Below are 26,989 nucleotides of genomic sequence, written 5' to 3'. Positions count from 1 at the left end.
TTTCTCATCATTCAGCAAGCATTTGTTGATTAGTATTTGCCAATCATGTTGCCAATTCTAGGTGTGCAGAGATAAATGAGACTCAGGTCCTGCCCTCCACAGTGTAGCTGGGGAGACAGAGAGTGCAGTGCATATGCCATAATAGATCTAAGCTCTGAACACTGTCAGAACAGAAGAGCTATGTGGCTTGAGGAGAGGAGCTAGGAAAGGCTTGCTAGTGAGGGTAACACTTGAGAATAAATCTAGGAGCTTGCTTGTGAGGCAGGTCCGATGAATCCACATGCCCTGCTAGACCCCTTTCCCTGCCTACTAAAACTCTCCCTGTGCTGCCCATTGTAGGCAATCTTTAATGGGAAAATCTGCCAAGAGCCCAAGAAGCCAGGCCTATCGATCTAGGTAACAAGACCACCCTGTTTTACCATAGAAATAAATAGAGTGGCGAAGCACATGGCTTTGCATTAAAGAGAGGGTCACGCTGATCGCATCCCTGAGACAACCACTAACCTCAGTCCTCTCTCAAACCATTTTACCATCCAATCTAATCTGTGGGGTTTTTTCTTGAGAAAATACATCAAGAATATATCTCAATACATCTTTGTCAAAATAAGATAGGATTTTTATTTTTCCCTAGAGTGTGCAGTCAAAAGAAGGGAACCAGATATAGAAGCAAATCCATTCCACTTCATAAATTCTATTTTAGGACTAAGTACCAGGTACAGTGTGGGCACAGATGGTCAGCTGCCTGTCAGGCAGAATGGGTCAGAGATGCCGTCCTTCAGAGGACATGGCACATGAGCCTTGCGGCACGAGCATGTGACCTGACAGACAGAGTGGGGAAGGTTCCCAGGCAGAGAAAAGCAAAGCAGCGCACATGGCACTGAGTTAGGAGGAAACGGGGTCAAAATCCCTCATTCACCTTCTTGAGGCTTCAGAAGTCACCCAGGGGCAAAGGGTCAGTCGCTGCATTCCAGTGGTCACCGCTGAGCCAAGAAAGGCACCTCCCCACGGAGGCCTCACGGCCCTGTGGCTTCAGATGTTTCTCACTGTCTGGCATGGCTTTCTCCAGAAAGTGGCCCAGCCTCTTCCTTTTATGGAAAAAGAAAGTGAGGCTCAGAAGGGTAGACTGGGGGCTCTTTCAATGCGTTGAAAGCAGCTTGGACTACAGCTGAGACCCCAGATGAGCACTTCTTCTAGTTTCTCATTCAATCCGCATGCCCTGGCGGACCATCTGCGTCTCAGGCCTTCCTGAGAACCCCCTTCCAGCCCAGGCCGAAATGTAACCTCTCTCTAAATCTAAGCCAGCCCCCCAAGTTCTAACACTGTTCAAAAGAAAGACTAGTTCTTGGGTTCCTCCTAAGGCTGCTAGGCAACTCAGTTCTCAAGAAAACTGGACAGAAACGGGACCAGCACTCACAGGACGTCCGTCGTGTGCTAGATAACGTGCCCTGCATTGTATGCATCACGCTTCTTTAAACCCTGGAAAGATCCCTGTCCGGTAGCTGTCTTTATCCATTTTACAGATGAGCAAACTGAAGCTCAGAGAGGTTCTCCAGGAGCTTACCACATCCGTCACGCACTCAAAGTCACCTAAGTAGTAAGTGGCAGGACTGGGGGCCATAGCTGGCTGAGTCAAACACTGTTCTTCATCTCAAGCCAGATCGTCCCTCTCAGTTCTTACAGTAATCTGGGGCCTCCTCAGCCTTTCCTGTTTCTGACCCAAAGCTGAAAGTATCTGGGGGGTCTAAGCCTATTGAGGGTTTGCAGAGTCTGGTGGAGACCCCATGTAAAGGTAAACACCAGCAGGTGACAGGCTTGAGGCCCGAGGGCCTAAGGCTAACAGTGCCTGGCTAGAATGCAGTACAGAGACCAGTGGCTCCACAGAACTTTCTATGGAGCAGCTGTGAGCTGCAGCTCCACAAAGAACCTCTCCCCAGAGACACAAAGCAGTGGGCCTGCATTGTTCCTGCCTCCCACCATCCTGTTCATTCTTCCTCTCTCCCACCCCTTCCTCTCTGTAAGCCCAGAGATGGCGCTGCCCCACTCCCACCTCCCATATGGAAGGCAGCTGGGGAGTTTTAGTAGGGGAAGGTCCTCTCAGGGCCTCTGGACAAAAAGACTGAAATCATTCTTAGGACCTAGTGCACGGCAGCCAGGAGCAGCACCTGTCTTGGGCTATACAGTTCCCTGGGCAGAGGTGACTTCTGGCCTCCTGCCCAGCCAACCCACTGTCAATGAACCAAGGGATCTGAGAGCAGGAGAGAAGAGCGTGCTTGAGCGTGTGTGTGTGTGTGTGTGTGTGTGTGTGTGTGTGAAAGCAAGTGTGTGTGTGTGTGTGTGTGTGTCTGGGAGAGAGAAAGCAAGCGAGCGCGCACACATTTTTTGTTTGTTATTGGAGCATTTTTTGAGCTGGCTGGCTGGCTGCCCCCAGGGAAAGTAACCAGTGGAGACTTGCAGTGGGCCAGTAGGAGGGGGTATGGCAGTGAGGAATGTGTTCTCCTGGGGGCTGTTTCCTCCCAGAGCAGGCAGACCCTCCAGTCCCAGCTGGGACTGCTCCCACTGACAGCTGTTTGGGGGCAAAGCCCCTCCCCCATGGCAAGCTCCCTGCTGTTCCTGCTCCTGTCACCTTGGCAACCGGCTTCTTCAGGCTCTGCAAATAGAAAAGGTCCCTTATGCCGAGAATAGGGGTGGGGGAGCAGGTGGGGGAGGGGAGTAAGGGGCGGAGAACAGAGCCTAAGAGGTTGGGCTTTGGAGGGGAAGGAGAAGGGCCTGGCTTGCCCTTCTCACTGACATGAGGACTGAGCAATGGAGGGCAGAAGAGAGGCAGGCAGCAGGGGTCCCTTGGGCCTGGCCTTCAGGGAAGCCGAGTCCTAAGGGAGTGGGCCACAGCCCCAGATAGGAGACTTGGTTCTTGGAGTCCTCATTCTAGTGGATAAACTCCAGGCTTTGGGTGCACACTCAGGCCCAAAGGTGAGGAGAAAGTTGCTGACTGGGAGGGATATGCTGTGATAAAAGGGAACTGTCGGGTTGTTGAAAAGCCAGGGCCCTTTCACCCAGTTGGGCCTCCAGATGCCAGGTCTTTGTTCTGCATCCTCAGCCCGCCTCAGGTCTCAGCTGAGGAGCGAGAACTCTGCTGGAAGGCCACACAGCTGCTTTGTTTGAACACAGAGAGCGTTTTGTGCAGGGGGCAGTGATTTCTGTCTGTGATAGGCTGGACAATGCAGTGTTGCTGATTCCAGGATTCTTGGGTACCCTATTTCCCTCCCAAAGCAGCCTCCAAACTGCAAGCACACTTTTACTTAGGGAATCCAATAAAAACCAAAGCATACAGGTGGGACTGTCATCTGCTAAAATCCCCAACGATTTTGATGAAGGTCATTTCAGCTATCCACTGTAGCACCAAATCTAGATGACTAAGAATCTCTTTTTATGTTAGGAGAAAAATCCACAATCATCAGCTATCAGTGGAGGGGCTTTATATTTTGCTTAACATCTTTGTGTGTACGAGCCTGTGTGCACGTATGTGTGAGAGAGAAAGCAGACTGACACACAAAGGGACTTGGCCTTGCTGGACGTTTCTTCTTTCCCGAAATTCTTCATCCTAGGCTTCTGTTAGACTATTTCCCTGGTTGCTGTGGGCTAATAGTAATAATTACCAGTTAATGAACAGCCATGTTCCACATACTGCACTAAATGCTTTACCTACATATCTCACTTAATCTTAACAGTGATTATTCCACTTCACAAATGAAAGAGGTATGGCTCAGAGTCACTGTCATCCCCAAACCATTTGTCCCTTTAATTATGTAGCTCAACAGATACTCATTTAGCACCTCTTATGTGCCAAACATTATGCTGAACACTATGGGTGTTAAAGAGATGAACAAGAGTTTAAATTCTAATGGGAGCTGCAGACATTTGAGTTGTGCTTTGAAACATGATTAAGTTTCAAGAATGGAACAGGAGGAGGAGTATCTCAGCTGGCACTGGGAAGCACCTAAGCCCAGAGGGGCTGTGTGCGCGTGTGACCATCTGTGTGTGTAAGCGGGACCCTCCTTCCTTTTCCCTTGCCTCTGCCATTAGCTGTGGGTCTCCTAAAACTCAGTCCTGTGCCCCTGTGTTTCACTTACAGAGGAGTTTGTCAGTTCATACCTTTCAGACATCCACCACCTGTCTGCCAGTGACTTCCTAATACACATCCATCCCTGTCCTCCTCTCTTCTCCCCATACATTTCAGCTGTCTATAAATAGACATCACCCCACTGCATACAAGTTTTTTTTAATCTGGAGAATTTGTAAAACAAAAACCATGCATCTTCCTCTCTGGAAAGGCCCCCTCTACCAGTTTCCTGAGCACTGTCCACAATTGCGAGGTCCTCCTGCACCCCAGACTCACAGAGTTATTTTGACTTCACATTCAGATAACAGGTAGTATTTTTAAAATAGTTACCATTTACTGAGCATCTAATAGGCATTGAGCAAAGGCAGTGAACCTCTTTGTGGTTTAAACAAAATACTCCATTTGATACTAACAAGTATGTGCTATGTATCACCATTTACAGAACAGCAAGTCTAAATCCAGAGAGGTTAAGCAATTTATCTAAGATTGCACCACCTGTTGGTGTCAGAGCTACCAGGGAGGCAGAGCGTTACAGTGGGAAAAGCAGTGGGCTTCGGAGTTAACCTGGTTTCAGACCCCAGTTTCATCACCTATTAGTTTAATGACTATGATCAAGTTACTTAAGCTCTGTAAACCTCCATTTCCTCATCCGTAAAACAGAGGTGATTATATTTCCTATGGGCTGTAAATGACTGAGATGGCCTGTGCAAGTGACCGGCACAGAGAAAGCCCTCCCTCATTCCCACGCTCCATCACCACCCAGCTTATCACCAGTTTGTCACCAGGTTCTGATGAGACTTCCTCTTGTTTTGGCTTCCTGCTTTGCTTAAGGCCTGCTGACGGGATGAGGCTGAACTGATCGCCAGGATATCCTACTCACAACTGCTAGAATTATCTCCCTCAGAGACTGTTATTTCCTTCTTGTTTAAAAACCTTCACTGTGGCCAGGCACGATGGCTCACGCCTGTAATCTCAGCCCTTTGGGAGGCCCCGAGACAGGCGGATCACTTGAGGTCAGGAGTTTGACACCAGCCTGGCCAACATGGTGAAACCCCATCTCTACTAAAACTACAAAAATTAGCCAGGTGTGGTGGCTCATGCCTGTAATCCTAGCTACTTGGGAGGCTGAGGCAGGAGAATTGCTTGAACCGAGGAGGCGGAGGTTGCAGTGAGCAGAGATCATGCCATTGCACTACAGCCTGGGCGTCAAGAGCGAAACTCCATCTCAAAAAAACAAAAAACAAAAACCTTCACTGTGTCTTTATGTCCTCCTTGATCAGCTGGAATGCCTAGTCTATAGTAAGGGCTCACTCAATATCATGTTAATGACTTCTGACTATCTGACTTCATGGGGGACCTTAAAGACCCTCCCCCCACTGCCCACTGCACCTGACTGCTCGTGGTGTCCTCATGCAGACGCTCTGTTATGGCCAAGCAAATATGCTGTTGTCTCTTCTCTCCCACTCCTACCCCTTTGTGACTTTCTTGGCCTGTCATATGCCCTTTTCCTCCCTGCCTCCTGGCGTTAACAATCCCTTTTTGTTGTCCATACCTCCAAGATTGCCTCCAGTATTCTCAACTGCCTGCAACTAATACTCCTAGGCTTGCGGTACTCGCTCGTCCTTACTGACTTCTGTTATTCACTTGGCCATCAGCATTTTTGACCTTTTTTGTCCTTACTGACTTGTGTTATTCACTTGGCCATCAGCGTCTTGTAATATGCAAGGCACCATGCCTCACCTGTCAAATGAAGTCAAGTTCCCCTTCACTTACTGCATTGTACAAGTCACTTGGAAACTACTCTCAGCTCTTGCTTGTAAAATAAAAACACTTCTCAATTGCCTCATGGGCTTCTTGTTAGAAATAAATTAGATTTAAATGATAAAAATTCTTTGAGAAGTTCAAAGCAACACACAGATAACAGGTAGTATTTTAAGAATAGCTACCATTTACTGAGCATCTACTAGGTACCAAGTGTTGAGCAAAGGCAGTGAATCTCTTTGTGGTTTAAACAAAATAGTCCATTTGATACTAACAACTATGTGGTATGTGTCACCATTTACAGAACAGCAAGTCAAGATACAGAGAGGTTGAGCAATTTATCTAAGATTGCACAGCCTATCAGTGTCAGAGCCAAGATTTAAACCCAGATCTGACTGACTCTAAAACCCATGCGTTTATCCACTTATGCTATCCTGCCATCCTCTGCCAAGGGCAGGGTAGGGGCAGAGATGCAGATAACATTTTCTTTTATAATGCTCCAAGCTGCTTAGCAAAGTATCCTGTACACAGCAAGTATTTGGTAGTTTTTCCAGAGGGCTGCAGAACAGGCCTAAGAACCTTCAAGCATAATCAGACTATCATAGAGTGCCCCTGCAGCTGGCAACCCAACACCGTTTTGCAAGTTTCTTACAGGTAAACTTCCCTTAGCTCTACTTCCCCTCTCAAACTCCTCCTGACCCCATGCCAAGGGAATGCATCATGGAAAATTTGTGTGGCTATTGCTTTAGGGTTTTCTAAAAGGAGCTTCCTTGTCTATTCTTGTGTATGCAGAGCACTGACCTCTAGAGCTAACTCTAACCTTAGTTACCTCATGAAGCCTAATCACATGAGACATCTTTAGGGATAAGCAGCCCCTAGAAGGTGCTAGCGTAACTTAGACCCAGCCAAAAACTGCCTCCTTTCTGACTCCTCTCTCTTAGACACCTTGGCTTTCAACTATACATGATGCCCTGGAGATCCCTGAATTCACCATAGTATTTTATGCCTCTGAGTCTTCCCGAATGCTGTTCCTTTTGTCATCTTCCTAACTCTGAATCATGTTAAACACTTACTTGCTCTGGGAAACCTTCTCTGCTCTCCTTCCAAAGCTGAATCCCCTTTTCCGTGTTCTCAATATTCTGTGCTTATCACCTATCATAATATTTACCAAATTATGGTGAGAGTATCTGTCTTCCATCTCTTTTACTAAACTGTAATCTCTTCTAGGGACCATGTCTTAGCCAGTACCAACCATAGTACTTGGTGTGTGGTGGGTGCTTAATAAATTGTTTGTTGAGTGAGTGAATGGTTGAAAGTGTATCTTCCCTTAAGGGTAGTGGCTAGTAAAAAGATCTGCCATTCCTCTCCCACAGGCACATTCTCCTTGCTGGTAGGCCAGGTAACATCAAACTCTAGTCAACTATAGTGGACTTCTAGGAAAATGAGTGCATAAGTAGTCCTGTAACTATAACTGGTATGCTTGCAGCTCCCATATACTTTGCGGCAAGAGTCCCAGCATTTCTGGGACAGTGAGTCGTTTCCTGCATATTTGAAGCCTTGAGAACAAGTCTTGTAGGATAAACAAGTCCCACCATGTTGTCTGTCATTCATTCATTCATTCAGCAATATTGATTGAGCATCTACTAAATTCAAGATATTTTGGAGGAAACAAATGTCTCACATAAATTCTGCCTACTAAAAGAGATAAGTCACTTACTGAAATAACTCTGAGATAGGTGTCATCCTTACCTCCATTTTAAAGATGATGACATAGAGGTACAGAGAGGTCAGGTAACTCACTCACCCCATGTCACACAGCTGGTAAGCAGCAGAGTTGGAATTCAAATCCAAGCATTTTGACTCAAGAGCTCACACTTGACTTCTGGGCACACTGCTTCTCTGAGGGCAGTGCAAAGCAAAGCGGCCTGATTGTCATCTCAGAGAAAGGGGAAAGTCCTGTCAGCTGTAAAGACCAGAGAATGGTGACTAGAATTTGATTTGTAGCACTCTAGACAGTATGAGAAAAGGCATATACTCTGTACAGGGTACAGTGAACAGTAAAGATTGCTTGGGTCAAAGAAATAATAAAAATTAAAAGGTTGGTTTATGTTGTAAAGAGATCCTGAATGTCTGCCAGGGGCTTTAGACAACCGTAGACAAAGGAGAGTCCCTGGCGGTTTTTAGTGAGAGATCAGATCTGTGCACTAGGAAGATTAGTTTGCTCTCTCTAAGCTGGATTACAGAGAGAAGAAACTGGAATCAGGAAGACCCTTCCTCTACTGCAGTACTCGAAACAAAAGGATTTTTTTTTGATCCAGGATAATGCTGGAGTTAAATCATGATCTTTGTTTTTATTAACCTCAAAAAGTTAAGGATGTATTAATATATACCCCAAATACCTTTGGGTCTCTGATCTATAAATTGATTCAAGCCTTATGAGCTTGATTTCCAGCCTTGGTGTATAGTAGCCTCGTTTGTCCTAAAACAATTGCTTTCAGTTTTCCATGAGCAGCACAGGGTGGGGAGGGAATGGGATAGGAGAGGAAGCACAGGAATAGAAGCCAGGCAAGCAGTCCCCTTTCCCAGTCTTTTGGGAAAACAAATGTGTGTTGTCCCTACCTATACTCTTTATGCTGTAGAGATTTAGAACCTTTTCCCTCTGTAATCCTTTTTCCTCCTTATTAACCCTGAATTGTAAACTACTTTTCTGCTATAGCCACTCCATCAAATTCTAGATGTGGAAGAGATTTATGTGATCACCTAGCCCAGACCTCCTCTTTCACAGATTAAACTCTGAAGCCCTGAGAAAGAAGAGTACCTTGTCTCAGGCCGCACAGCCAGCAAGTAGTGGGGCATGCCATTGATCCTCTTAGCCTCCCTGACCTGGAACCATCTCCAGCTCCCACCTCACATAGGCAGCCCCTAAGAATGATTCCACATCCCAGGAGCAGGAATCCATGATTTTGCATTACAGGAGAAAAAGTTTTGGTTGCATTTGCAGTGACATGCCCAACATTTGCAGATCATTTTGGCTGTGGGGGCCTAACAAAGTCCTGTGTGGCCTCTTCAGTGTCTCCCAGGTGCCTTATCAACAGTCTTCTCAAAAGTGCCTGATTGTTAAATTCCGACCTATTCAATGTGAGATAAGGAGACACAGCTTAGATTGGGGTCAGTTTATAATCACCAAATGTCTGCTGGCATTTCCACAAAGGTTCCGCCATCAACCCAAACCCAACACACTTCCCTCAACATCACACTGGTGTCCAAGTTTCCCAAACCTGTCATTCAGTATCATCCATACTAAACCCCTCTGGGCCATCCATAGTCCCTCTCTCTCTGACTACGACAGTCAGTCACCAAGGACCATTTTGCTTTTCCTTTGTAACACATCTTATTTCTGTCCTTTCCATTCCTATTGGAATTCTGCTTGGAATTTCACGTTGGGCTGGGATGAGACCATTCAAAACTTGCATGTGAACAGACAAAATTCAAGAAGGAAGGCACCTCCCCTAACTCAGTTTGAAACCTGCTTACTTTGCACCTGTTGCATCACAGGATCCATTTAAAACGTGAGCTCAGGACCCAGAATTCACCTTTATCCTTACTGGCATGAGGCTTTAGTTGTAAAAATCCATTTGCGGGCCTCCAGCTGTGGCCTGCCATGCACTTGGCTAGCTCTCCAGCCGTGGAAGTCTCTGTGGAGGGCAGTTTTTAAACAGGACAGATTCAGCTGAGCTGCTTCATCCTAGGCTGGCCTGGCACTAGCCAGAGAGTGATCTGTGCAAAGACAATCTCTGAGCTGAATTTCCTGAATCCCTACTCCAAACAAGGCATGAGCTAGACACTGAAGGGATACTAAAAAATATAAGAATTTTCGCCCCGTCCGGGAGGGAGGTGGGGGGCAGCCCCCGCCCGGCCGCCGCCCCGTCTGGGAGGTGGGGGGGCGCCTCTGCCTGGCCGCCCTGTCTGGGAAGTGAGGAGCCTCTCTGCCCGGCCGCCACCCCGTCTGGGAGGTGTACCCAACAGCTCATTGAGAACGGGCCATGATGACGATGGCGATTTTGTCGAATAGGAAAGGGGGAAATGTGGGGAAAAGAAAGAAAAATCAGATTGTTACTGTGTCTGTGTAGAAAGAAGTAGACATGGGAGACTCCATTTTGTTCTGTACTAAGAAAGGTTCTTCTGCCTTGGGATGCTGTTAATCTATAACCTTACCCCCAACCCCGTGCTCTCTGAAACATGTGCTGTGTCCACTCAGGGTTAAATGGATTAAGGGCGGTGCAAGATGTGCTTTGTTAAACAGATGCTTGAAGGCAGCATGCTCGTTAAGAGTCATCACCGCTCCCTAATCTCAAGTACCCAGGGACACAAACACTGCGGAAGGCCGCAGGGTCCTCTGCCTAGGAAAACCAGAGACCCTTGTTCACATGTTTATCTGCTGACCTTCCCTCCACTATTGTCCTATGACCCTGCCAAATCCCCCTCTCCGAGAAACACCCAAGAATGATCAATAAATACTAAATAAATAAATATATATATATATATACATATATATATATATATATATATATATAAGAATTTTCACCTCAAAGAGTCAGCCTGCTTAAAATAGAAGAGAGAAAAGCTAGCATAGCAACACATGCCAAAAAACAAATTCCTGTCAGGCACTGTGGTAGGTTCTGGAAAAAGAGATACACAAAGTTTCTGACCGCAAGGAGTTCATGATCTGGAAGACAGATAAGAAACAATTACAACTCACCTTAATAAGCATTATTATGATAGAGGTAGACCCTGGATACTTTAAGAACCTAAACCAGACTGATATAGTAGTTATAACTAGAAATGACTGAATATGACCATGTGCCAGGCACTGTGCTGTGCACATTAAGTCATTTTTCTGTCATTTTCTTCTCATTTCATCCTTTTAGCAACTTCTGTACAGAAACTATATTTTCAATTTTTAGATTGGGAAGCTGAGGCCCAGAGAGTAGTTATTTCCAGGTCCCTTGGTATATAACAGAGGGAACCAGTAATCCAGCCCTGGTCTGTCTGATGCCAGGATCCAAGAACCACCGTTGTCTACTGGCTCTTCCTGGAGAAGGCCTCGCCTGAGCAGAGCCAGAGGCTGGATGAGGACTAGCCACACAGAGCTGGGTTGGGTGGTGGAAAGGTTGTAGCTGTTGCAGGCACAGAGAACAGCAGGTGAAGGGCATGGAGGAGAGCGAGAGCATGTCACACTTAGAATCCAGTATTTCTCTGAACTGCCAGAATGGCCAAAGGGCATCACAGAGGAGGTGAGTTTTTAGTTTTGAGGAGTTGAGCTTTGGGGATGGGGGACAGCTCAAAGAGCCCAGTGTTCCTCCAGCAAAGGAGGAAAGCAGGAATAGAGTGAATGTGTTAGGCCATGGCAATGAGCAGGCCAGGCTCAGGGTGAAAAATGAAAGAGATGAAAACAAGAGACATTGAATTTGGGAAGCCATTTTTATTTGGATGCGGGAGGGGCAGAGTTGGAAGACACAGCAGAAGAGAAGGTCAAGCCATGCTCTCTAACCTGGCCTTTCCCCTTTCAGCCTATGCTCAGCTGCAGCCACACCAGCTCCTCCCACAGCCATCCTCAAAGCACCTGCAGCCCCAATTTGTGATCCAGCAGCAGCCACAGCCACAACAGCAGCAGCCGCCGCCCCAGCAGTCACGGCCTGTGCTCCAAGCTGAGCCCCACCCCCAGCTCGCCTCAGTCTCTCCAAGCGTGGCCCTCCAGCCCAGCTCAGAGGCCCATGCCATGCCACTAGGCCCGGTTACACCCGCCCTGCCACTCCAGTGTCCCACTGCCAACCTGCACAAGCCTGGCGGCAGTCAGCAGTGTCACCCTCCCACACCTGATACTGGGCCTCAGAATGGACATCCCGAGGGCGTGCCCCACACCCCTCAACGCAGGTTCCAGCACACTTCAGCTGTCATCTTACAACTGCAGCCTGCTTCACCAGTGGTGAGTAAGCCAGCCCCAAGGTCCAGGGAGCACACGGGGTGGCCACAGCTCGGACGACCCCACAGCCCCGTCAAGAGGTGCTTCTGGGTAGGCTGACGGGTGAAGTCATCTTTGGGGATTCCAAGAAGGAAGAGAGGGCCTTCCCCAATTTGAGGATGACTGAATCTTAAGGTCCTTACCTGCTTCCCAAGCTCCATGGAAACCAGGGAAGTATCCAAGAATGCAAAGGCTATTTCTGAGAGGCCCCCCTCTCTGTCCTGTCCTTTGACAGCCCCAGCAGTGTGTCCCTGATGACTGGAAAGAAGTGGCACCAGGGGAGAAAAGTGTGCCTGAGACGCGGTCTGGCCCATCACCACATCAGCAGGCTATTGTCACTGCCATGCCTGGTGGCCTGCCTGTACCCACGAGCCCTAACATCCAGCCGTCCCCAGCTCACGGTATGAAGCACAGTGGGGCCCTGGGGGAGGGGAGGAAGTTGGCCTTTCTTGCCATGCCCTGGCACATTTCACTTGGGCATCTGGAATGGGAGGGTAAACTATTACAAGCAAGGAAGCTGGGGGGTTGGAAACAGAGGAGGGATGTGAGAAGATGAACCAGGGATAAAGTAATTGAGACACGGAAGATATTAGAGCAAGAGGGTGGAGACAGAAGAGGTGAAAGTTCTAGAGCCAGACACTGGGGCCTACCTGCATGTCACTGGTGTCAGATGCATCCACATAGACATATGCCAAGTGGAGAGTGGAGGCAGGTGGCCAGTTGTCACAGTTCTCTGCTTCCTTTGGTATGAAAGGGGGTTCTTGATATTGGAAATATGGCAAAACGGCTACCACATCTCAAAAATAAGGGAAATGCCAGGGGGAGGCAGAAGGGGACTCAGATGAGTTCAGCTCACAGGAAGCATCTCTGAGGAAAACTGCTCAGCTCTGGGATCCCCATCTGTCCATCTGTGCGGGCTCAGTTACAAGTGGACTTCTCCCTGCCTGGGGTTCAGGAGACTCTGCTGGGTCCCTTCACCCGGATGGGAGAGGCACAGCAGTACCTCCGCCTTCTGCAAAGATCTATTTGCTTCCCTTCCCCTCTCTGCCAGTTTGCACAGCACTGTTGGCCCAGATCTCAGTGACATTCTGAGCCATGGACCACCTGCAACTCAGGGAGGCAGTTCCAGTCATTGTGCTGTGTTTGCTGAGGGGGTAGGGGCGGGGAACAGGAAAGAGAAAAAGAGTTTAGAAATTGATGGAGAAATAAGAAAAAAATACCTTAGCACAAGGCAGGGCAAAAAGAGTACGAAGGTTCTATAGGGAACAGAAGCAGGATCAAGGAAGAGAATATGGAGAAAGGACAGCAGGAAAATTAAAGGATGGGAAGGAGGTCATCTCTTCTCTCTTTGCACACTTGCAGATGAGAAGGGGTTTTGAACAGCAGTCCATTCCACTGTAGATTTGCTCTAATTATCAGAAAGTTGCTTTTCAAATGAAGTCAAAACCTGCTCTCTTGGAATTTGCCAGCATTGGTCATGATTCTGTCTTGTGAATTATAAGAGTCCATCTTATACAGTGTTTGTAGACAGTTGTCGGACTGTCTCTTGCCTCTCCCCCCATTAAAAAAGAGAAAATCTCCAGGCTAAACATCTGAGACTTTTTTTCATTTTTTACCTATGACAGATCAAGACCTCCATTCTCACCATTCTGGTCAGGCTTGTCTATCTACATTCTACCTTTTCATTAATTTTCCTAACGTTTGGTCCCCAAAATTGAGCACATTAATTCCAAATATAAACAGCTACTAGTCTTTAGAGGCCTGTTTCAGGGGCAGGGCTGTTCCCTAGATCCATGTTTTACGGTAGGGAGGAACCAAAATTTGTTGAACACTTAGTATATGCTGAGTACTGTTCCAAGTCCTTTACTCACTCACGACAGCCCTAGGACATAAGTAGAATCGCCCCATTATTCAGAGGCAGAAACAAAGGCTGAGGGGCTCCAGGTCCCGCGGCTCTGAAAGGGCAGCGCCATGACTCTGACTCCTACGGTAGTCACTCGCTCACCTTCCTTCATCAGGATGGTGCACGAATGGCCCCCGTGAACTCTCCCACCCTATAGGAATGACACTGTTGTTCACAGAGCACTGTCACCTGAATTCCAGAGAGCTGGGTTTCATTTTTGTTTCTGAGGTTTCGTCTTACCTGGAACTGCTGTCATGCCAGCTCTCCCTAGTCTCAAACTTGTATAATTTATAGTTTGAACCAAAATATAATTGCTTACATCTGTTAAGTGTTACCTTGTAAATTCAGCCCATAGTTCCAGCCTAGCAAGAAAACAGTAATGATTAATAGTTAATATTTACTGAGCCCTCTCTGCTAGACTACACATATTTCCTCATTTAATCCTGACAATAACCCTCTGAGGTAGCAACTTTTATCATCCTCATTTTAAAGGTAAGACCACTGAGGCATAGAAAAAAACAAGTGGTGGGGCAGGAATCTTTTCTATCTGAATTCTGCTATTCATTATACTAACACCTCTGCTTAACTTTGCCACCTGTAAATTATATAGCATGTTTTATTTGCCTTTTACCAATTTGCTAATAGAAGTACCATATGGGACCCCACTGAGTACTCATGCCCTGTCTCCGCAACAGTGGTAATCAACATTTTTTGCTCAAGTGTTTGTAATCCAGAAACCCCTAAATGAACTGACATTTGCCTTTCTCCTCCATAAAGCTCTCAAAATTTTCTTTCTGAAATCTAATCATGGTGATATACAAACAAGCATCCTCCTCTTGAGGTCCTATCTCATGAGAGAAGTAAGCTTTACACAGTGGAAACAACTGTCAACCACCCAAGACTTAAATATCCATTCTGTGTATGTCTTTTTTTTTTTTTTTTTTTTTGAGATGCATTCTTACTCTGTCGCCCAGGCTGGAGTGCAGTGGTGTGATCTCAGCTCACTGCAATCTACACCTCCCGGGTTCAAGTGACTCTCCTGCCTCAGCCTCCCGAGTAGCTGGGATTACAGGTGCACACCACCATGCCCAGCTAATTTTTGTACTTTTAGTAGAGACAGGGTTTCGCCATGTTAGCCAGGCTGGTCTCAAACTCCTGACCTCAGGTGATCTGCCCGCCTCGGCCTCCCAAGTGCTGGGATTACAGGTGTGAGCCACTGCGCCCGGCCCATTCTGTGTATGTGTGAATGCCTGCTCTGTGCAAAGCACTGTGGGAAGGGAGGTAGCACACTGAGAAACACGGTCTGTACCCCACCTCAAGAGCTGAAGGTCTACTTGAAACGATGAAAAATGCACAGGAAAAAAATTACAATAGAAAGTAAAATGCGATAAATGCCATAGATGGATTTGAGGTAAGTCATTTAAAAGCTACAAAACAGGAAAAGTTACTGCCAACTAGAGATGTTCAGGATAGATTTCAGGGAGGACGAGGCATTGTTCTAGAGCAGAGGTTGACAAACTACAGCCCAATGGCCAAAACCATCACATTGCCAGTGTTCGTACAGCTCGCAAGCTAATAATGATTTCTACATTTTAAATTTTTTTTTGAAAAAATCAAAAGAATTCTATTTCATGATACATGAAAATTATCTGAAATTCCAATTCTAGTGCCCATAAATAAAGTTCTATTGGAACACAACCACACTCCTTCACGTACATATTGTCTGTGGTTGCTTTCCTGCGGCAACAGCAGAGATGAGTTGTTGCCACAGACCGTGTGACCTACAAAGTCTAAAATATTTACTCTCTGGTCCCTGGCAGAAAAAGTTTGCCAACTGCTGTTCTTGAGTCTGGACCTTGAAGGATAGGTAGGACCTGGACATGCAAAGTTGAGGAAAGAGCATTCCAGGAAGAACTGGTGGAACTTAAGAGAGGGAGGCAGGAAAGTGTGGGCATGTTAGGGAACAGGAGTTGAGGATACAATCCTGTGTTACCCTAGTTTATAAAACAAAATATAAGTGTAAGAAATGCAGAGGCAGAGGAGAAGGAAATATGAATATTAATGAAAAGGGGGGTTGAAAATTTGAAAAATAGAGGAGAAAGGGAGCTAAGTAAATATTCGGGGAATGTAAAATAAATGTAAACAAAGAAGATGGGATGAGGCCTGAGAGTGGAAAGGGGTGGGGGGAGAAGAAAGGCAGGCAACGAATATGAATACTAAGGAAGGCAAGAAAATGGGACCATGTTGGGAACAGAGGGAAGTCAAGAATGGAGAGAAGTGCCTGGCGTGTGTCCAGCACCTTCCTGCGCCTCGCGCTCCTGAGGGTGGGGACTGTGTCACGCTGCACGTCTCTGTACCCCCGCAGCCCCTCGCGCGCGTGCTGAATGAGTATGCTTCGCCACGACAGCGCAGGTTCACCCGGTGCGCTTGGGGAAGATAACCAACACTTACGGGACTCTGACCGTGTGCCAGGCACGGCGGGCCGCCTGAACCCACTTCCTCAATCAGCCTCAACCGCGAGCCCGAGGCCGCTCACGGAGGTGTGACCGGGGCACTCGGGCCATGACTTCCCTCTGATCCTCGGTTCCCAGTGGGAAGGAGAATGACTTGTAGGGTCGTTGTGAACAATAAGTCGGGGACAGCGCGAGCAGGGTTTGGCACGAACTGAGCTCTCGGTGACTGGTGGTCGTTAGTCTTCTGACTGACCCCCAGGCCCCTCAGGGAGTGAACGGTCCAAGGCGGGAGTCGCGGGCCGCCCCGCCAAGGAGCACTTGCACCGGCTATCAGGGCAGCCTCCTCGTGGCGTGGCGCCCGCCTCCCTAAGCTGAGCCCCGGGCGTCCCTAACCCGCCTTCCGGAGGGCGCGAGGCGGGGCTCGCCGCACAAAGGAAGCGCGCGGCCCGTGTCCGCCCCGCCCCTCCCGCGGCCCCGCCCCTCCCCGCCCCGCTCCCTCGCCCCGCCCCCGGCGGAGGCGGCCGCGGGAGCCGTCCCAGACTCGCCGCATTGTCTCCGCGGCGGCTGCAGCCCTCGAGCGCCCGCCGCGCGCGCGCGCGCAACCCCGGCCGCCGCCCGCGCTCCCGCCCCGGCCTCGCGCCCCCGTCCCGGCCTCGCGCCCCGGCCGCCCTTTGTTGACGCCGGCCAGGCCGGTGCGGTCGGATGCGCCGCGGCAGCCCCGGGCCCCGGCTCGGAGGCTCCCGGCGGAGAGGAGGCGGCCCGCCCGGGCCCGGGACCCCGCGCGAGTCGGCGCCCGGCCGAGGGGCTGCGTAGGCCCCGCCCGGCCAGGCCCAGCCGGGCCCTGGACAGGTCAGTGCCGGGGCGGGGGAGGGGTTCTCGCCAGTAGGGAGGCCGGGGGCCGCGCTCGCCGCACTGGAAGTCGGGCACCGCCCTCGGTGCCCCTAACGGCCCGGGCCTACGCGGCTGCCAGGCCGTGCCAGTCGCGGCTCTCGTCCGCGCGGCGCCTGGGAGGTGCCCTGCTCCCCAGCCTCGCTCGCCTGGGGACCCTGCGCGCCCGTCGCCCCTGGAAGCCGTGTCACCTCGGCGCGCCGCAGCTTCCGCGTCCCCAGGCCCCGCACACCCCACCCCAGCCCCAACCTAGGACCGGCCTCCCCGCCGCTGCGACTTCCCTGGGACGGACGGTGCGTTCGGGGACGAGACTGCTGGCATCTGCCGTACTTTATTGGTGGTGGACTCCCTATCTTGGAGGCGCCTGCGGCTTCGCTGGAGAGTTTTGTTTTTAATCTAGTTCAGTCTCACGAGGTTTTTAATTGGATGGAAAGGGACAAGCTGTTCTGTGTCTTTTCTTCCATTTTTAGAAGAGCGTTTTCTCTCCTTCCTATGCCAAATGAAGGTAGACTATATTTGTTGCTTCTTTACATTAAAATCGGGATTTGTGAGATTCTGTATTTAAACTGAAGTCCACAGACAGGGAAATAATTGGCCCAAGGTCAGGTTGCAAACCAGTGGCGACGCTACCATCTGAACTAAGCCCTGGGCCCCGTGTCGGATACCAGTCAGTGCCCTGCTACTGCCCACCCACCCGTCTTCCATAACCTGAACTGATCTCACCCACATACTTTCGGTTCTGAACAACTTTCCTTTCCTTCCTACTCCATACCTACGATATGTACCTTCATGTGCTGTGTACGGAACACACTCTTTTCATCTTTTTCTTCCCTTACAAATCAATGACAGCCTTCCCCTCGGATATCTCCCGTGTTTGATCTTTAATCCCCTCTCCATTAGCATATTGGGCCCAGAGGATCCCTTGCAAAATAAGCTACCTACCTAAATCCATCATATGTCCCTGATTTTTCTAGGACAGCCCCAATTTAAACTATTCCATCCCATTGTCCATCAGCCTGAGTATCTCCATTTTTGGTTTAAAAAATAATGTCACTTTGTACCACAGCCTACTGACCTGGCCTTTTCCAGCCATTTGGCTCTGGAGCATAACTGGGTAATCCAATTATCATTCACCTGGGATTTTTCTTCCCCGCCTGAGTCAACCCAAATGTTGGAACTGCCAGGATTTCTAGGTCAGCATGAACATTACAGGCTAATGAGGCAAGGAAATTCCTTCTTGCTCTTGTATTTCTTCCCACCTCCCCCACCCGCCCATCTTTTATTCTGGTACAGGGCAACAGACCTGTGGCAGACCCTATTGATTAGGATTTAGGTTTAGGTCACAAGGGATGTAGGGCTTCCCATCGTTTTGACTTTAGAACAGAAATAAAGTACCTGACTGTGTTGGTTATCGGGCAAGAGGCTGTCTTGAACCTTAAGATAACCAGCACAGCAAAGCAGTTCTGGTTTCATTCAGTTAGATTTAACATACTTTTATTTGGCTCCCATTTTAGGTAAAGTACTGCCCTAGGCACTGGGGAATATAAAAGTGATTTTAACAAATAGCTCCCAACATCTGGATCTACATTTGGGAGTATTCACCCTTTCTAACCAGCTGATAAACTGTGTTTTCCACTGGTGATTTCTCTGTACCTAAGTTCCAGCCCCTGCAAGGCGGGAACTGGGGCCTCTGGCTTGGCTCACTCACAAGGGCGGGCTTGTTTCGCAGAAGGTCGGGCAGATGGGGAGTGGTGCTCTTTTGGCACCTGCCCTTTCCAGGCACTCTTCATCACATGAGCTCTGCTTCTCAGCCCACCCAAGATCTGTTTCCAGGCTCGTCCATGCACACAGGGAAGAATAGACATCTTTTTCCTCCAGCCTGAATCTTGAGAAAGGGGGTAGTTTCTTAGTCCTTTCTGTTGTACTTGAGTCGGTTTCTCAGTTGTCCAACTATGTTTTCTCTCCTGTTTTCACCCCCTTCTTTTTTCCCCCAAACTGTTCTTTACTGACATGTGGCACAAAGGTGCTTAATGAATGTTGGTGTTTCATCATGTCCCCACCTCCTGGCCCTTTCCACTCTCTCCCAGGTCCTGGGTTAATTTTTAATTTACCTTTGTCAAGCTCACTCCATATATATTATTTACTCTTCCCTCTAAGTAAAGAAGGACCTCCAGCCCCTTTTCCTTCTGTCACAGTCATCATTCTCCTGGCTGTGGGTCTCATCATCTCATCAGCCATTGTTTCTGCATTCTCTGCCTCCTTCAGGGAAGGAGAGCCTCTTAGGAAGGCACTGTGCTGCTTCCCCTGACATACCTGCTCTGTCATTGACTTTCTAGTCTAAGCGGACTGACCCTGAGATTTCTCTTCCTGCCACCAAGCCCTTCCCTCAGCTATGACCCTGTGCCTGTTCCTTGCTCTGGCTCAGCCCCAGAATCCACTCTTTTTCAGACCACATCCTTTTTCCTGTGTTACTCATTTCCTGTCTCAGATACTTTGGATCCCTTGGTTCTGATCTTTCAGGGGGAGAGGGCATGTTAAGAGGAGTAAGTAGATGGATGATCTTACACAATTGAACTCTTCTTACCTCTGGCCTTGTATGCTCTTACATAGGCTGTCCCCTCTCTACATTTTCTTATTTAAGGAAAAACACAGAACATGATTATTGTCTCAGAATTAGGAACCCCTACTGGTGTGCTCGTAGGTGTCTTTTTGTCTACTTTTCTCTATTGTGAATGTGTAAAGGGGATGACCTCACTGCCTTAAACTCTTCCCTTAAGTCTCTGTCCTCCTTTAGGCTGTGGACCTCAGGCCAGGCGTTCAGTAACCATTTGCCAAGTAAAGTTCCCCCACCTCCTCACTTTCATCCAGCATGGATCAGCAAGCCAAAATAAAGTTAAAGTTTAAAAAACCTAGGGAATAGGTTGGTGACTCCAGTTCCTGTAATGCTGCTCATCATTAGTACGGTGTTTACCAAGAGTTTTTCCCTCTTCTTGAGTCAGTCTAAATTTATATTAAACTTCTCCCAGCTGTTCAATATTTAATCTCCAGACAGATTTAGTTCCAGCCATAGAAAGATTCTCTTCTGAAAGGACACCTACTGGAGACGAGAGTAGGGAAATGAGAATGAGGAGTCTTCATAATTGATAGTTTCTCTTTTATTCCCTTTGTTTTGTGCCATTTTGCTACTGAAAGATGATCATGATGATGACTTTCTGTGGTCAGGAGGAATCTCACAAAAGTGGTTGTAGAGAGAGGCTTTTGTGTACCCCTCAGGAGACTGTCCTGGAGTGAGGTGCCCCTCTGAGCCTGCCCACCCTCCCCACCTCCCCCCAGTCCCCAGCCCTATGGGAAAGCAGGGTGAGAACTGACTGCGTTATGCAGTCTACTCTGATGGGGACTTTGTGCCAATGACAGAAATGGCTCTCTCTTTGGGGACTTAACACCTTGTTTCATGGAACCCAAAACTGAACTACCCCTCAAGATGGGAGTCTGAACACATAGATTTATGCTTTAAATGTTTTTAGGGCATGGTTTAAACTATGAGTCACCAGTTAAAACCCTTTTTGAATATGTTTTCTGTTTTTAAAAAAAGTTGCCTATTTAAGATAACTACTTATTCACAACTCAAACAGAGGTAGGCTTCACTTGAAGCAATGACTTATTTAACATTTTTCATTTGAATTACTAGCCACATCAGAACACTGATTTGATATTTCTAAAGGTATTGAGAGGCAAACCATCTTTAATTCTGCTTTATGATGTGGATATTTTGGGAATTGTTAGGAAAATAATCAACCATTTGCATATCCAAGACATAATTATTACAAATTCTGGATTTTTCCCCATCAGTAACAAAAGTCCAGTATAAATGACATGGTCAAGAAATGGGCTCTTTTATCATAGTCAAGAATTATACAATTTAGAATTACTAGTTTTTGAAGAAAAAGTATGCTAAGGAACACAGCATATAATTTAAGTCATAAACCGTTGCTCTGAGATTCATTGTAAGACCATGTAGACCAGCATAGAAAACTTCAAGGTTTTTTTTGTTTCCTTCTCCTTCCAAATTATTTTTATAGTTAGTGAAAAAGGATATGCTTTCCTGTTCTTCCAATTTCCAAATGATATTTAGGTAAGTCCAAAAGAAGAGAACATTCTTTCTACATCTGGTAAAGACATGACTGCTGTTAAACACAGATTGCCAGTGCTCTGAGATGAATCCAGATGTTGAAGAGAGCCCCAGTTTGCTATTATGACTTTAAAACATAAGCAAATGTCTGTTTTTTTCAGATGATTGTCGTCTTAGCAGTGAAATTTATTATCATTTGTATTAAGAAGAGATGACTATTAGATGCCATGCCATAACCAACTCTTCTCCAGTAGATTAGGAGGACCAGGCCTGATACTGAATATTGGAACTGTTGGCAAGAAAATGAAAGTTCGTGACTGCTTGAGTTATTTTTAAAACTCTAGTTGCATGGCTGTTATGTCTCAAATACTATATAATTATCCCTAGTTACTGGTATCTTTAGCATATTTGAAACCATCCATATGTGACCTAAAGCCACACAGCTATATTAAGACATTTTTGAACAATCAAAGCAAATGACACTTTAAATTAAAACAAAACTAATATGAAGCAACTACTTTAAAAAAAAAAATTGGGACCAGGCACGGTGGCTCATGCCTGGGGGGCCGAGGCAGGAGGATCACTTGAGCGCAGGAGTTCGAGACCAGCCTGAGCAATATAACAAGACCTCGCCTCTACAGATAATTAAAAAAAAAAATTACCTGGGCATAGTGGCACACGCCTGTGGTCTCAGTTGCTCAGGAGACCGAGGTGGGAGGATCGCTTAAGTGTGGACAGTCGAGGCTTCAGTGAGCCATGATCGTGCCACTGCACTCCAGCCTGGGTGACAGAGCGAGGCCTCATCTCAAAAAATAAAAAATAAAAAAATTTGATTAAATCCATATTTTGAGGCCTCCAGTAATCAGTATTAATCTGTTCTATCAGTTGACTGGTGGCAAAATAGGGTTGACTGGAAGCTTAGACAATGGTTATAAGGAGGAAAGGAGTAATGTTTCCATGAGCAGAAATGATCAATAGAACTGATTTGCAAGGTATGTAGTATGTAGTCCATAATATAGACAGGACAACTGAGGCTTAGTGTTCCCTCCTCCCAGTCTCCCCTGACATTTATCTAACAATATTAGTGATGCTGCAGTTGATAACCAAAAAAATAGTCATCATATTGGGGAACATGGCTGCCTTTCCCTGTTATCAACCTGAAAATAATTGGAGAGTTTACTAAACATTTCTAGATTTCTTTTGTAAACCGGTAGAAATCCATCTTCCATGAGTTTATCTTAAACTGGGTTTATTTTTAGCCTTTTAAACTAATTTCTTTTCATAAGCTAAATCATCTGGCATTACAAGTTACATAAATTTAGTATTTTCTAAGTAAAGCAGTGCTTCCTTTTATTTGTCTTAAAGTTAACCTTTCTTTTGGTTTCTAGGGTTCTTCTGCACTGTCTGCTTAAAACCCCCCTTTATGAAAAAACTGCATAGAAAGAGAATCTGGTGCTTGTCTTCTTGTCCTTTAGATTAATAGCCATTGAAGGTGACTTGAGACTTTGCTTTGCCCTTTAGGACAGAAGCATTTCTGTTATGTTGCAGTCACAGTGGAGGTAACATTTCTTCCTGAAGCCTGACCTCAACAGTGCAAGGACAGGACTACCGACGTAGACCAAGACGTCTGAGGAACACAAACCTCAGATACCTCAGTTTGGGCCACGGAAAGATTAGCCCTGCTCTGGGGCTGTAAGAGGCCAGACTCAGTGAAAGAGTGAGATTAGAATGATTTCCTAATCTTCTCACAGGTCTCAGTGACGTTGGCACTCCTGTGTCCAAGCTCAGCCTAGTCCAGTGTGTTGTGCCTGCATTACATTATTTAATCCTCACCACAGCTATATGTAAGACAGATATAAGTATCCCATTTCATAGATGAGGAAAGAGGCCTAGAGTAACTTGTCCAGCATTACAGGATAGGATTTAAGCCTAGAGTCTTTTTTTTTTTTTTTTTTTTTTTGAGACAGAGTCTTGCTCTGTTGCCAGGATGGAGTGCAGTGGTGCAATCTCGGCTCACTGCAACCTCTGCCTCCAGGGTTCAAGCAATTCTCCTGCCTCAGCCTCCCGAGTAGCGGGGACTACAGGCGCTCGCCACCACACCCAGTTATTTATTTTTTTTTTTGTATTTTTACTAGAGACAGGGTTTCACCATGTTGACCAGGATGGTCTCAATCTCTTGACGTCGTGATCCACCCACCTCAGCCTCCCAAAGTGCTAGGATTACAGGCATGAGCCACTGTACCTGGCCGCCTAGAGTCTTTCTAATCCCACAGTCTTAACTGCCATGTAGCACAGCTTCTGCGTGTATTCAGTGCCAGGCATTTTACATATATAATATTTACTGAAACCTCCCAGACAGGTAGGTAGTATGAGCCTCGTTGTTACAGATGGAGAAACCAAGACTCAGAACAGGCAGTGAGTGCTTGAAGCCACACACCTTTGATTAAAGGTGGAACAGAATATGAGTCCAGGTCTGGCCCCCAGAGCCCATGCTCTTTCTACTCTGCCATTCTTCCTTTTATCTCCCCTGATCTTAGTGTCTACTGTAGAACCTCTCCCATTGGTTCTAGACATTTTGCGTTTTGAAATCATAGCATGGGCCGGAGCACTATGATGTGAGACTATCTGGGAGCCCTTGACCCTGGCATTGGATACCAGTGGACTGGCCTCCATCACCAGGGTTAAGTAGAACTCTTTGAAAACTCCTCCCTGACTCCCTGCAGCCAGGGCCAGCTATTATTCCCTGGTGTGTTGACCTGGTGGAAGTCACTCTGGTCCTGCAGGTGCTGCTGCTGAGTTTGAGCTCAGGCCCCTCTTGCAGTCCTCAGCCTGTGGGCTGGGAAGCGTTCAAGCAGCTGTTTGGAAATCCCCCACTGCTCCCGTTGTCCTGAACTGCATGGGGTGGGGGGAGGGTGGCTGTTCGCTCCATTGATTCCTTCCTGCATAGCTGGGGGTGGCAGCTTGGAGCACATTCAGCTGTTTACAATTCAGCTTATGTACACTTTAGCTGGGGATTGTGGGTGAGTCAGAAGGGCCGTTCTCTTTGCCTGTGTCCTGAGAGACAGCATGAAAGTCAGCTGTATGGTAATGGCTGCCAGCATGGGAGGAGCCCCCTCCCTGCCAGATGCCTTAACGGGAGCTGGTCAACACAGATGCTTAAAATCCAGTAAGCTCTCCAAACCTTTCAACCCAGACCCAGCAAGAGCATTTTGCAGTGACGCTGAGGGCAAGGCTGGAGGGTCCCCTGGCTTGGCCTCTCCTTCATCCTGCTGGCCAGCCCCCTGCAAGGAACTCAGGTGTGGATCTCAGTCATCCGCAGCCAGTGACCCTCCTGTGCCTGAAAAGCTCACCAGTTTTCTCAGCAAAGAGCCCCACAGGGTCCTTCTGTCACTGCTGTGCCTTCCCTTCTCTGGGAGAGGTCCTTCAGAGGAGGTGCTTCAGAGAGGTTCCTCAGGGAGCCACAGCCTGCTGTGTCAAGGCAAGGAGTCCTTGTCCCTTTGACAGCTCTGCCCTTAGCAGATTTGAAAAGGCTGCAGACATTGGATGTTCCCCCTGCCTTCTGGTATTCAGAGGACCCCAGGTGGGAAGGGTCTATAATTTTCCCACCACTAAGAGTTCATTTTGTGCATGTTTTACAAGATACTGTCTTCCAAATAAATGGCATTCGTTTGTTTTATTCTAAAATGCACACTTTTACAATCTGTACTTGAGACGCACACGTAATCAATGTGTAAATTCGTTGTGGGGGAAATGGGTCATCTTAACAACTGACTGCATTTTAGAATTTGGGAAACATGGTAACATGATATTAAATAATAGCATGTTTTGCCCTCCTGAAGGTATATATTATGTGCTGTTTCCTTTTCGGCTTCTTCAGATATTGAATCCAGCTTGTGCGTCCTGATTAACTAGATTCAGGGATCCTGCTTAGTCATCCAGGAATCCCAATTTGGGAATCACTCATCTAGATCATCCTGTGCTTCCCAACCCAAATGCTCCAGCCCACATGTGATATCTGGCCTCTGCCTCAGAAGGTCCCAGAATACAGTTTACATGTCTTGTCCTCTTTTCCCAAGTGCCCTCGTGCTATCCACGGCTAATCAGCGCAGCCCTCCCTCCACCTGTGTGGCCCACCCGGAAAAGTCTAAAGCACTGGGTTCTAGTGTGGGTTCTGCCACTGCCTGTGTCCAAGCTCAGCCTAGTCCAGTGTGTTGTGCCTGCATTACATTATTTAATCCTCACCACAGCTATATGTAAGACAGATATAAGTACCCCATTTCATAGATGAGGAAACAGGCCTAGAGTAACTTGCCCAGCATTACAGGATGGGATTTAAGCCTAGAGTCTTTTTTTGTGACCTTTTGTGACCTTGGGCAAATCACCTCACCTCTGAGGCCAAGTTGCTTCATCTAGGACATTTAAGATGTTAAACTCAGGGCCTTTCTAACTTTAATCCTCTGGGATCTAGTGCCCCGTGATCCAAAACAATCACTACCCACCCCCTCCCCCACCCCATCCCTAAATTGGGAGGAAAGCAATCTGTTTATCTGAGTCGAGTAATTCACAGTAAAGTGTGAATGACTGTAAGATGTATACTTGCATTTTAAAGAAATTGTTAACCAAATGAATCTCTAATTGATGGACTCTGTCAGGGTCCCAGATAGAGCTCAGCCTGCCTGTTCCCCTCCCTCCTCCCCGCAACTCCCTCTCAGTCACTTTCCTACCCTTCACTTACCCCGCCCTGGGGGAAGGTGTCAACAAACAGGTGTTTGTGAAATCTCTTGCCTTCCTCACTTTCAGTGGCATTAATTTCTTTGGGGGCCCAAATATAACCAAAGAAATTGTAAAGCGTGGCCCCAGATCTTTCCATGAGGACTGGGCACTCTGTCCTCAGCTTACCGCACTGCAGTACGGCCTGTTGCTTGGACCAGGTATGTGCTGTGTTTGCTGCTGTCTCCTGGATATGGTTTAACTGGGCATCACTCTGCAGTGCTCCACTGAGGCGGTTTCTAGAGCAAATGGTTCCTTGGGAACCCTGCAGAGACCACCCTGGCCACATGGCTGGGCCTGCTGAACTGCAGCACAGTGAGCGTGACTTCAGTGCTGGGGGCTTGGAGAGTGTGCTTTGGGTTTTATAGGTGACCTTGTTTGCCATTTGTTGAGCAGAATTTGTTGTAAGAAAATGAGCCATGTTATCATCTACTCTGCTTCTTTAAATTCTTTATTCATTTCATTAGCTCTGTCATACTCCTACTGCAACCAAACAGTAAATAGAAGTCTTTTAAGTTAAAATACATACTCCCTTCTCATGATAAGGTGGAAATCAGCCATTGACCAAGGTGAGGGGGTAGAAGGAAAAGCTCCGTTTGGTCTCCATTGCCTTTGAAGCCATGTCTTCAGGCTATCTTAGGGTCAGATAGAATGAGTGCTAGGCCATCTGAAATACCTGTTGCAGATGTTAGTACAGATTGAGCATCCCAGATCCAAAATGCTCCAAAATCCCAAACTTTTTGAGCACCTACGTGATACTCAAAGGAAATGCTCATTGGAGCGTTTCAGATTTTTGGATTTGGGATGCTCAACCAGTAAGTATAATGCAAATATTCTAAAACCTGAAAAAATCCAAAATTAAAAACACTTCTGGTCCCAGGCATTTTGGATAAGGGATACTTAACCTGTACTAAGCTGTATTCCAGTATAACAAAACAAAACATCA

The 26,989-nt window shown here is 47.3% G+C and overlaps 1 protein-coding gene and 1 long non-coding RNA gene across 11 annotated transcripts in view, besides 6 other annotated features; one reads left to right on the top strand and one right to left on the bottom strand.

Annotated features, from left to right (window-relative positions):
* PHC2 (polyhomeotic homolog 2) overlaps nucleotides 1-26,989 on the top strand; it is a 107,470-nt gene that overhangs the window by 64,394 nt on the left and 16,087 nt on the right. For 7 of the 10 annotated variants that reach the window (NM_001330488.2, NM_001385121.1, NM_001385109.1 and 4 more), the window contains 2 exons: nucleotides 11,449-11,864; nucleotides 12,136-12,301. In NM_001330488.2, coding sequence (NP_001317417.1) covers nucleotides 11,449-11,864; nucleotides 12,136-12,301 — 582 coding nt within the window. Of the gene's footprint in view, nucleotides 1-11,448; nucleotides 11,865-12,135; nucleotides 12,302-16,802; nucleotides 17,106-26,989 lie in introns of those variants that run through there. The other 3 variants (NM_001385123.1, NM_198040.3, NM_004427.4) reach the window with 3 other exon arrangements.
* Nucleotides 1,356-3,514: an enhancer, noted in NCBI's record as "VISTA enhancer hs1388". NCBI's record gives its function as "enhancer in: neural tube[7/12] | midbrain (mesencephalon)[7/12] | forebrain[8/12] | other[7/12]" and the evidence as "EXISTENCE:transgenic organism evidence [ECO:0001131][PMID:17130149]".
* Nucleotides 2,260-2,554: a silencer, noted in NCBI's record as "tiled region #7215; K562 Repressive non-DNase unmatched - State 23:Low". NCBI's record gives its function as "represses a minimal TATA promoter and a strong SV40 promoter by Sharpr-MPRA in K562 cells {active_cell/tissue: K562}" and the evidence as "EXISTENCE:reporter gene assay evidence [ECO:0000049][PMID:27701403]".
* On the bottom strand, nucleotides 3,457-16,350 carry PHC2-AS1 (PHC2 antisense RNA 1). The gene is made up of 3 exons (NR_125978.1): nucleotides 16,255-16,350; nucleotides 7,628-7,841; nucleotides 3,457-3,636 (listed from the first exon to the last, which is right to left on the bottom strand). It is a non-coding gene; the product is annotated as a PHC2 antisense RNA 1 (long non-coding RNA).
* Nucleotides 9,937-10,457: an enhancer, noted in NCBI's record as "NANOG hESC enhancer chr1:33821846-33822366 (GRCh37/hg19 assembly coordinates)". NCBI's record gives its function as "activates a minimal SCP1, AML or CMV promoter by ChIP-STARR-seq in naive H9 embryonic stem cells {active_cell/tissue: H9 hESC(naive)}" and the evidence as "EXISTENCE:reporter gene assay evidence [ECO:0000049][PMID:30033119]".
* Nucleotides 16,617-17,546: an enhancer, noted in NCBI's record as "H3K27ac-H3K4me1 hESC enhancer chr1:33814757-33815686 (GRCh37/hg19 assembly coordinates)". NCBI's record gives its function as "activates a minimal SCP1, AML or CMV promoter by ChIP-STARR-seq in naive H9 embryonic stem cells {active_cell/tissue: H9 hESC(naive)}" and the evidence as "EXISTENCE:reporter gene assay evidence [ECO:0000049][PMID:30033119]".
* Nucleotides 16,642-17,161: a silencer, noted in NCBI's record as "silent region_623". NCBI's record gives its function as "represses an Ori minimal core promoter by ATAC-STARR-seq in GM12878 lymphoblastoid cells {active_cell/tissue: GM12878}" and the evidence as "EXISTENCE:reporter gene assay evidence [ECO:0000049][PMID:35858748]".
* Nucleotides 23,864-24,472: an enhancer, noted in NCBI's record as "OCT4-NANOG-H3K27ac-H3K4me1 hESC enhancer chr1:33807831-33808439 (GRCh37/hg19 assembly coordinates)". NCBI's record gives its function as "activates a minimal SCP1, AML or CMV promoter by ChIP-STARR-seq in primed H9 embryonic stem cells {active_cell/tissue: H9 hESC(primed)}" and the evidence as "EXISTENCE:reporter gene assay evidence [ECO:0000049][PMID:30033119]".

Source organism: Homo sapiens, chromosome 1, assembly GCF_000001405.40.
Source record: "Homo sapiens chromosome 1, GRCh38.p14 Primary Assembly".
Taxonomy (NCBI): domain Eukaryota; kingdom Metazoa; phylum Chordata; class Mammalia; order Primates; family Hominidae; genus Homo; species Homo sapiens.
The sequence above is the reverse complement of the archived record's forward strand: the minus strand, read 5'-3'. Positions and strand labels throughout refer to the sequence as shown.